Below are 11202 nucleotides of genomic sequence, written 5' to 3'. Positions count from 1 at the left end.
ATGCACAAAAGTACGAAAATGCTTTTATTATGGATTGAAAATTTCTATCCCTCCAAATATATATCCTGAGGCTCTAAACCCCAGTATGGCCATATTTGGAAATGGGGGCTCGAAGGAAGTAAGACTTACTGAGGTCATAAAAGTAGAGTCCTGATATGATAGAATGAGTGTCTTTATAAGAGACACCAGAATGCTATTTCCCCAGGCACACACACCAAGGGAGGGCCATGTGGCTGTCTACAAGACAAGAGGTGAGCCCTCAGCAGAAACCAGGCCAGCCAGAAATGATCTTGGACTTGTCAGCCTCCAGAACACTGAGAAAATACATTTCTGGGATTTAAGTCACCCAGTCTGTGGTATTTTGTTATAGCAGCTCAAGCAGACTAATACATGTCAGTCCTGAGTTAATAATATTTCCCAGGAAGTCTCAGAGTACTATTAGGGAATGGCCCTTAAATACATGAAGTGCATGTATTAATTCCCAGCCTACCTCCTTCACCCTACATAAAGTGCAGAAAGGGTCAGGGTGTCACAGGGCCCGTTTCCTTCAATGCGTCTGTGGGAAGGACGTGTAGGTGCAGCCCACGATAGCTCAGAGAATGAGACCGGCTTCAGCTTGACCCTTTTTGCTCCAGGAAAGCATGATGTGGATCATATCTTACTTTACTCTCATAGAAATTTGCTGCTTCCTCATGTATAAATAACTAATCATGAGCAGCAGTGTGCTCCCTGTCAGAGCCTGATCAGGACCATAGAGGCAAGTGGGACTCAGCCTGGGTCTTCATGGCTGTGGGAGCCATTACTGCTCTCTGTATTCCAAGTGGAACAGTCCTGGTGTAAGGGTCTTGTTTCAGTGTCTGTGAGCATGAATGGGTGTGCGTGTGTGCACACGTGCATAAGAAGCTTGTATCCTTTCTTCTTCTAGTGAAAGGAAATCCCCTGTACCTGGGGATTGGGGGAGATAGTGAGGTGTTGGGGAGCAAGAGAGACTACAGGAAAAGATGAGGTGCTGAGGCCCACCAACCTGTTTGTCCTCACCCTTTCCATCTGCTGAAAGGTGCCTATTGGGCGTAGAATTGTCTCCAGCCCACTTCATTGGACCAGGTCATCCCAGTTAGCCTGACTGTCCTGTTTGCAGGTCAAGTATAGAGGGAATTTTGCCACAGTAAAACATGCTCTATTTTCAAGTCATATGTGAAGAAAAAATAAATGAAGGAAGGATGAGGAAAAGACCAAATGCTGCCAAGTGTCCACTACAAGCTCTGGTTTTCTGCGGGGGCCACTGAAAGGTGTACAAATTGTTCACCATAAGCCAAGGACACAAACATGTGTGTGCGTGTGTGTGTATGTATGTGTGTTTGATGCCTTAGCACAGCTCGTGTTTGATGCTTGTGATGGTTCTATTTATAAACTTTGTGCTCTCAGATGGGACAACCAGAGGCACTTCTTTCCTGCATTTCAAGTGTTTCATTTCCTTTTTAACATGTCTTTTAAATTAAGGGCATGCACACCAATGCATGGGCTCACTCTCATCTTACGGCAAGTTGATCAGACTAGGGTTAGTTGTCTGAGAAACATGGGTGGCCTTTGTCACAAACAAGAGGAGAAGCAGTTCAGGGAAGAAGAAGACTAAGGACTAGCACTGTTGTTTTGGTGGAGTTGTTTGTTAGCTGACTGTCTACAAGGCACATGTTCTATCGAATATTCAGTGTTGGGTGCTGACTGTGTTACGAGCCTTGTACATAGGATTTAAACCCCAGAGCCACTCTGTGAGGCCAGAATTGCTTTGGGATCTTTCAGATGAGGGAACCAACGTGAAGGCTTTAAATCCTATGTCCAAAGCCACACAGCGAAACCAGAGTGAAATCCGGAGCATTTGAATCAAGAGTTGAATCTTCTTTCCTCCCCGGAGGGAGAATCGCCCAGGGGCTGAGTGCAAGGGGAAAGGCTGGTTCTGAGGGGAAGAAGCTGAGCATGTTGCGGCACAGGACTTAGAAAAATTTAGAAGCATCTGCAATTGTTTTCCAGGGGAAGATACCCAAAAACAATCCAGAGAAGGAAATAAAACGAGAAGAATAGTAAGGCAACATGGAGTATAAAAGTTGCTGCATTTAGGGCGAAGGAGAGAACCTCTCTGCTCCGTGGCGATATTAAAGCTATCCCCAAGAACGGGAGGTGGGAGTGGCCTGAGGGATGACTCCTCCAGCACTGCTGCCTGCCAGCTCCGGGCTGCACAGGGCTGAGCCGGCGCCAAGAATGCCCTCTTCTGGTGATATTCTCGAAGCCCAGGAAGATAGCAAGGCAGCCGAGACCTGTGTTTTCCAGATCCTGGGTAGATTCCCTTGTCAGATGTGGTTCTACTTAAGCAAATATCACTACCTTCTCTTTTTCCTCCTCAGCCCTCAAACTAGTGATAGGGAAATTATTTCAATAAGGTAAGCTGTACCTTAGTAGAGTTTGCTTCCTTTTTTTTTTTTTTAACCCCGAATAATACTCTCTATGTCATCTGTATATTTATGATAGCTCAAAGACATGGGTGTGTGGATCTAATTAAAAATGTGAAAGGGTTTAGCAGCCTGCTGCTTCCCTGCAACTCTCTGGTTGCCAAATCTTGGCAGCCGTGTTGAACTTGAGCCAAGCGTTTAGTCCTCAGCTGAACTGCTGCCAGCCTGCGCACGGCATTGTGGGGCGAGAGCCGGAGGGGCTGCACTGCACCGAGCTTGCACAGGGCGAGGCGGGGGCAGGACCTGGGACCCAGCCACCCCGGAGGAAACCGGAGAGGAAACCAGCTTGGTCTTGCTCTCTGCCTCGTCCCAATCCCCGGCTCTTACCAAATGCAGGTAGGACCAGCTAGGCCAATTTGGTGACCGGGTAGGGCTTCAAGCTACTAGGTGGGAAATGGTCCCTACAGTTTTGCTTTCATTTAGTCGAAATCGGGCCTTTTCAGAGGAGAAACAGTTCTCCACTCTCTTGCAGTAGTTTGGGCCTGAGTTTCAACAGTCGGATGGGGCATTTCTATTGAGTTCTCTGCTGTCAGTCTGAGCTTTTTTTGATAGCTTGGCAATTGTTCTGTGTCTTCTCTCTGAAGCAGCTGAGTCCAGCACAGGGTTTCTCAAACCCTGTTGTGCACACATGTCACTTGGGAAATCTTGTGAAAATGCAGGTTTCTGAGTCTCCCCGGGGAAAGGGGAGAATTCATGTTGCCAAGATCAGAACTGACTAGAACTGCTTACGTTCCACATTATGACTCCAGACTGGAACTTTTGTGAATTCAAGGATGTTAGGCTCTGGAAAAGTACATCTTGGTGATTTGCTGTCAGAGGGAAAAACAATTCAAAGAACTCAGCATTCTCCACAATATGTTGACAAAAATAAGGGGAAAAAAAAAACATCAAAGGCATGGGTCACTTTTTATTTTTTTTTGAAATGTACCAGCTATAAGCAAATTAAAGAGGAAGAAAGGGTCGTATTCTTTGTATACAGAACACCCTCCTGCAGAGTGAAAATTCAACCCTAAAAAGATCTTCTAATATACTTGAGGGGCTGAGAGAGAGGATGAGGGGGGACTTTGCCTTTTAACTTTATATCTTGTGTATTGTTGATTTTTCATGATGATGCATTTCTTTCGTAATTAAAAGAAGAGGCAGCAGCTGCAAGACGGCCCAGGAGCCTTCTTGGCAGTGACCTTCCCCAGGGCAGGCCACCAGGGTGGGGCAAGTATGGACTTTGAAACCACTTTGTCCTGGAGTGGAAGCAGGCTCTGGCATTAAGCTTGGGGAATTTGGCTAACATTGCTGGGCCTTTGCAATTTCATCTGTGCAATGGAGAAATTGGGCCTTCATTGAGGCACAGCTGTGGGTGCCGCAGACATGTTTGTGCGGGGCTCATACCCAGGGGTCCTTAACAGGCGTTTTAAAAATTCAGAGTCTCTCTCCGATGGGGTTAGGACACTATTCCAGATAGAATTTCACCCCGGCAGACTGCTTCTGAGCACAGATATGTTCCAAAACCTCCGGATAGGAGCTAATCACTTTAGAAGTCACAAAGCCTCTGTTCATGATGTTAGAGGAGCTCCCCAAAAACGAGGCCTTGGGGAATAGCAGTGAATTTTCTCTTTCTTTTCAAATGGCAAATTTATACATATGAAAAGTCTAAATGACATGGCAAATAAATCACAAGTAGTCATAATTTAGCCGGCCACTTTTATTATGAAACAATCAAAAGCATGCAGTCGGGACGATGGAGGGAGATGCAGGCTGTGTGGCCCCTGTGCAATTAGGGGGCTGATACTTCCTTCATATCCTAAGTTGGGATGGCATGTCGCTTGCTTTGTGGTTTGGAATAATGCAGAACTGGCTGTTTCTATCACAGAAAGAGGGAGAGGGTGTGTGCCGCCAAGAATCAGGATATTTCCAGGAAAATTTCACTCCAAGAGGCTTTCTTGAATCTCATTCCTAACATGTGGGCAGATGATTGTCTAAACCACTGAGGGATGATGCTGGAGGTAAACATCTAATTAATTAAAGAAAATCTCCTTCTGCACCCCAACTCCGAAAATGCCCCGCAGTTGAGAAACACTGACACACACTCACCCACACTCACCCACACACTCACCCACACTCACACACACACTCACCCACACTCACACACACGCGCCCACACTCACACACACACTCACACATACACTCACACATACTCACACATACACTCACACACTCACCCACACTCACACACACACCCACACTCACCTACACTCACACACACTCTTACACATGTATTTGTAAAAAAAAACTCCCTGGTGACTGAGTCCTTCGGTCCACCTGCGTTTGTTAATTCCAGGTTACAAACACCTTGATCTCCATCACCCTTCTTCCAAGAATGTGTGACCACAACCCCTTCGCTCTTCCAAGCAACGTTTGCTCCAACTTAATATTCCGGTGCTTTCGGGAACAACATTTTAAAATAAACCATTTTGGCACCTTGTCAAAGTCTTGTCTAAATTCCTTCATGACAACCACTCTCAGTGAGATTTTTAAAACCAAAGGGAGTTGGGGGCAGGGAAAAGAGGAGTTCCCCGTTTAGAGTCCTAATTTTAAACAGTATCAAATAAGAATGTATTTATTTCTCCCGCCCCCTCTGTAGTTCCCTCCTGTTCCCACAGGGCATCCTCAGCCCACCTCTATCCTTCAGTCCATATCTTTATTGTCCCCTCCATGGGGTCTGGTCATCTGGGTCAGTGGGAAAGGGTCACTGGCCATTGGACAAAGAAAGGCTGGGCAGGGATGGGGCCTCGGGCAGGTGTTGAAATGTAGTTCCTGGTGTTTGGTAGTAATCACTACAAAACAATCCTGTCTGCTCCATTCCTATCAACAACCTGCTCTCCTTGGTCTGTTGCTAAGAGACCAGCCTGTTGTTTACAAGATCCTTGGTGGCGTAGACTTCCATAATTTATAATTTATTATCTTAGTGTCAAAACTTGTGTTGGTTTTTATTTTATTTCACCATAGATCCAATTATAGTTAGATACAACAAAGGTCATGCATCTGCCGGTGGCACAGTGACTGCACCAATAGTATCCCTCACCACCCCTAAGTTTAGGTGCTGCAGAAGAAAATGCTATTATTAACTGAAGATGAATATCATTTTTTGTCCACTAACTTCATGCATTATATGAGTGTTCAGGTCAATGGATTCCCTCAAGATTTGCTCACTACTGAAAACATGTTTCTGTCCAACCAAGAAGGAAATGAATTGAAATGATTTCAATTATCACAAGAAAGGAATTGAGTTTTCTTGCTGTACAGTTCAACACGTATTGACTCAACTCACCAATCCTCTCCCCGCAAAGTTCAGGGCCATAGACATTTATCCAGCACTAGACATTACTCTGGAACCACCGTAGGGTTTTGTGGATCCACAAAACCACCTTGTGAGGATATTCTCTACTTAGAATAATTCAATGAATTCAGAAAGGAAGTGATGGCACAGAAGAAAGGGTCATTGAAGTAAAACAGCTCAGTCTCAACATATCAGCTAAGAGAAGAAGAGAAACAGAAAAGTGTTAAGATCATTGCCAACATGTATTGTATCAGGCACAAGGCTAAGTGTTTAATCTGGAATAACTTATTAAAAGGTACTGACAGATCTATGAGGAAAATTCTAGTATTAGTCTCATTTTTACAGACAACAAAATCAGAGCTTTCTACCTTAAGTAAGGCACTCAACAATGCCTAGCTATTAAGTGACAGGATGGAACTCAGGCTGAGAGACTCTAGGGCCATTTTTTATTCTCATAGAAATTTTTAAAATATGTATCAGCCTGGGCTTTGGAGTTTTTTTGTCTGTTTGAGAAGAGTCCCACATACATTTGATGAAACAGGGCAATGAGCATAGATTCCAAAACCTTCCACATTATCCTCTACAGAGTCTTCATCATCTCGTAGAAAACACAGAGCATGAGAAATTTCTAGGAAGGGCATTTTATTTTCCCCGTCTGAGAGCCTGGAAAATTCTAATGCCGTTTTACTGGGAATTAAGCTTGTTGTTTTCCAGAAAGCAATTATGGCAATATTTCATACCAGCATTTTGCATCACTTAATTCCTGCCTGCTCCCTGGTGGGTCGTGGCCAGGACAGAATACTGTGCACAGATCTCCTGAACCCTCTCTGGTTGGGGTTGGCAGACTCATTTTTAGTACAGTGATGGAAAGAGATGAATAAACAAGCTAGGAACTATGGACCATCAAAGAAGCAGTCATGACATTGACGATGACTGAACCACTTCTCAGGCCTGTCTATTTGCTTTTCCTCCCCCAAACAGGACATTGTTCTCATTCAGAAGTGCAAACCCTTAGACTGGAACCCACGGGCAGACCCCAGTGAATAAAGGAGTGGAGTGCACATCCCTCAGTTTATTTTCTGAGGCCATTTCTCTGAGACTAGAACCTTCCTGAGGGTGCAGATGGGGTCCTCTTCATCTTGGTAGCTGTGCACATCCATTTAAGATTCAGAATCAGTAGTTTGGGGTTCAAGTTCTCATCTACCACTTAGTAGCCTCGTGAACTAAGGCAGGTTTTAAACTCTTACGTTCCTAGTTACGACATTTGCAAAAATGGTGATGATAATACTGTCTTCTTCACAAGGAAGAGAGGATTAAAATGAACAACAAATGCAACGTGAAATTGGAGATGGAACTAGATAAAAGTGATTAACATCATTACTCAAATGCCAGGACCAGTAAAATGCCTGACAAACAATAGCCTCTCATTCAGCAGCATGTGTAGCTATGAGATCGTAGTCAGTCTATGTGTGCCAACACTATGAAGCATTGGGATCCAGAGTTGGAAGACAGACCATTTCTGCCAATTGTTCACAGCACATGGAGGAGAGGAATGTGTAAACAGTTACCCAGAAATATACATACACTTCTATGGAGACCAAGATTGAGACGTGACCTGTAACGCATTAACTTTTAACTCTTATGCCTCATTTTCTTCATCTGAGAAATGATTCAGTCATCATTAAGTCATGACAGCTTCTTTGATGGTCCATGGTTTCTAGCTCATTTATTCATCTGTTTCCATCACAGCAGTGAAAAGGAGGCTGCCAACCCCAAGCAGGGAGGATTCGGGAGATCCATGTATGGTATTCTGTCCTGGTCATGACCCTGCAAGGGACATAACTGCCTTGTCACCTGGACAATTGAGAGAAGAATATCACATGCCATGTTTCACTCAGGAAGCACTCAGTGCCTATGGGGGATGGGAAGTGAAGAATGTCTGGGGACGCTGTCCCAACTGATCCTTTTTCACTGGCTTTTAATGGGGGTTTCTAGAAAGAGAAGCACTTATTCATTGATAAAAATAAAACATAATTAGACACAGCCTCCTCTGCCCCTCACCTGATGGAGTTTTCAGCAATATCAAGAAGAACCACCATACTGATAATGCAAATCTTGATTCCCTCTGCTCCATTACACTCCCTTTTAGTCTCACTTTTGGTCCATAGCAATTCAGCAAGCTAAGGAGTCAGGAAGTAGTAAGGTCAGCCAACTGTTTCACCAGGGTGATGCCAGATAATACCAGACAGTGTGATCAATGGATAAAGGGAATGTGAATATAAAGAAGAAAAAAGCCCCTTGGCAACCAGAATGAGTTGGGCTAGAAATTGAACTCAGCAACTGTTAAAATCTGACCCACGGCAAGGCAAGCTTCCCAAAGGTGACTTCACAGTGTCGGCATTAGTGTTGATTATATCACGTGGGTTAAGGTCTTAGAACAGAGGAGATGTTCGGCAGAAGGCAGCTGCCCTCCCTACCAAAGACTCTGAAAGACATGATGCTGTCAGAGGTTGTGCCATGGTCTATGATCATGGTCTCTGATTCAACTCCAGAAAGTCAAATCGAATCCATCGCCAAGATTTGGTTAACCCTTCATCCCCTGTCAAATTCCTAATATCTAGCCATTGCCTCTACCCACTGCTTCTGGTTTTGTTTTTGTTTTTTTATGGAAATAATAGGCAACAATGATCAGGACTAGTTTCATTTTAATTCAACTATCCCTTGCTGGAGTCTAAAACTGTCCTCCTCTTATCTTCCTGGAAAAACAGAATTGTCCTCCCTGTTGCCCAAGACAAGCCCCAGAATACCCACCCCCTGAATCCCCTGCATTAATATCTAAAGCATACCCAGTCTCTTTCCTAAATATGTCTCCTCTCCACACAGTTCTATAGTCTCTAGGGTTATCACTACTAAAGATACCTTTCTGAACTAGAATGAAACATGCTCCTTATCTTCTTGTAAAGCTCTAAGGTCCCCACATTTGATAAGACAAGACTCAGGCTTCTTAGCACAGACTTCCACTCCATTCCAAATCCCCATGTGCCCATATCCTCCCAGGCACCCCTCCACCACAAACCCATTGAACCTGTGAAATGGAATTTCTTCTTGTTCTTTAAACACATCATGTTGGGCCATGACATGGACTTCACATATTCAGGTTCTCATGCTTGGCATGACTTCTCCTTTCCCAGAAAATTCCTTTTCAGCCTTCAAGACATAACCCTAGTGTTTCTTTTTCTAAATCCTCCTGGCTTCTCTGGGCAGTTAGGTCAGGTATGTTTCTCTTATTCATCTCTGTATCAAAAAAGCTGAACCCATAATAGAGTCTTAGTACTTGTGCCCTGACCTATCCCATTATCTTGAAGAATATTCCTGGGTCCTGCCTGGGACTTCCTTAATAGCCCCTAGAGCTGGGTTTCTTTTTTGCCTCTTTCAGTGTTCTTCTTATTCTCCTTTCCAGGATTGTCTTTCTCTCCTAGCCATTAGATGTTGATGTTCCTCAAGGTTTGCCATAGGCCATTTAACATATCATAAATAATTTTTATATTATCTCATTTACATTATCTCCTGGGATCCCTCTTCTTCCCAGACTGCATTAACCACTCATGGTGATGACTCCGGAGCTTCATTCCCAGACCTGATTCTCTATAGACTCCAGACCTTTGCGTTCATATATGTGATGACTGTCTTTAGACTTGGCCATATCACAGAGCCTTCAAACTAATATCTTTGGTTGGGCGTGGTGACTCATGCCTGTAATCCCAGCACTTTGGGAGGCTGAGGAGGGCGGATCACTTGAGGTCAGGAGTTCAAGACCAGCCTGGCCAACATGGTGAAACCCCCATCTCTACTGAAAATACAAAAATTAGCCGGGTGTGGTGGCAGGTGTCTGTAATCCCAGCTACTCGGGAGGCTGAGGCAGGAGAATGGCTTGAACCCAGGAGGCAGAGGTTGCAGTGAGCCAAGATCTTGCCACTACACTCCAGTCTGGGTGACAGAGCAAGACTCCATTTCAAAACAAAGAAACAAACAAAAAAACCCCAATATGTTCAAGTTGACTTTACTTTAGTTTCCCTATAACATCTTCGTCCCCAAATCTTTACTCCATTGTCAGTGTCCCCTGATTAATGGCATTACCACATACTTGATGCCCAACTGAGAAATTTAGATGTCTTTACCTATCTTTCCTCAACACCAACCCACCCATCTCATTAAAAATTGAGGCCTATGGATTCTATCTTTTCAATAGTTTTCATTTTTTTTTTTCAATCTCTCCAACCCACTACCATTTTCCACCATTCTCTCAGTCCAGGCTTCATTATCTTTTTTTCTGGACTTCTACAACAAACTCCTAATTTATCTCCTACCTCTATTATTTCACCCTTCCTGTCTATTCTCTATTTCAGGGCCAGGACAATCTTTACAGATCTTTACAGGATGATCAAAACACAAACTTTATTGTTTCATTTTTATATGTGAGATTTCCCAATGGCCCCCCTTGCTGACTTGAGGTAATTCTCAGAAACCTCTGCCTGAATCATAGAGATTTTGGTCTGGTTTCTAAATAGCCTGTAGTCTCTGTGCCTTGCACCTCTGAGCCTTGCAGCCATATTGGACTATTCTTAGTCTTTGCACTGGGCTCTTCTCTCTCTAAGTCTTTACCTTCCACCAAATACACCGAAATATGTATTTTTGGACAGATTATTAATGTCCTCCTTTTTATTGAGATCAACTACAGGATTAACTTAGCAGTACTTGGCTTCAAAAAATGTTATATCAGTCTCTTTCCCCATCGGTCTGATTTTTCATCCTCTTTTCTTGGATATCCCTGAGTTCACATCTTCTGAATTGTACTTGTTTCTTTTTGAGGCTTATGTAGGGGCTTGTTTCAAAGAGATACTCTATATTCTATCATGGCTGTAAGAAACTTAGGAGTCCTGTTCTATGCCCAAGGCTCTGCTTGTTGAATACACATGTAATTGAGCAACACAATTGGGGCTTCCTATTTGATGTCACATTGCCGTAGTAGGCAATGATGAACTATCCTAGCAGATCCTCTAAACTATTCTTTCACTGATTGCACATGATTCCTCTCTTCCCAATGTACTTTTGACAGTTTATGAGAGTAGATTTTGAATCACCCCCCAGATCTAAGTTCTTCCAAGGGAAGTAACTCCACTATGTTTTTGTTTAAGGTTTTCTGTCAGGCAAACTACATGTTAGCATCATACATTTGTTCTGTTTTTTTTTTTTTTTTTTTGCAATTCTAGACCCTTGTGTCAGAAAGAGCAAATCCTCTAGCCCTTTGATCTTCACAATCCTTCAATTATCTTTCTGGTTTCCTTCTGTTGTCATTTAGGGTAA

General features: G+C 43.6%; 1 long non-coding RNA gene across 6 annotated transcripts in view, besides 1 other annotated feature; it reads left to right on the top strand.

Annotated features, from left to right (window-relative positions):
* Positions 2194-2693: an enhancer, noted in NCBI's record as "H3K4me1 hESC enhancer chr14:98444461-98444960 (GRCh37/hg19 assembly coordinates)". NCBI's record gives its function as "activates a minimal SCP1, AML or CMV promoter by ChIP-STARR-seq in primed H9 embryonic stem cells {active_cell/tissue: H9 hESC(primed)}" and the evidence as "EXISTENCE:reporter gene assay evidence [ECO:0000049][PMID:30033119]".
* LINC01550 (long intergenic non-protein coding RNA 1550) overlaps positions 2693-11202 on the top strand; it is a 52515-nt gene continuing 44005 nt past the window's right edge. For all 6 annotated transcript variants that reach the window (NR_015430.2, NR_152750.1, NR_152749.1 and 3 more), the window contains exon 1: positions 2693-2840. This is a non-coding gene — a long non-coding RNA (long intergenic non-protein coding RNA 1550). The remainder of the gene's footprint in view (positions 2841-11202) is intronic.

Source organism: Homo sapiens, chromosome 14 (assembly GCF_000001405.40).
Source record: "Homo sapiens chromosome 14, GRCh38.p14 Primary Assembly".
In the NCBI taxonomy this organism is placed as follows: Eukaryota; Metazoa; Chordata; class Mammalia; order Primates; family Hominidae; genus Homo; species Homo sapiens.
Note: the sequence above shows the minus strand (reverse complement) of the source record. Positions and strands in the feature narration are given on the sequence as shown.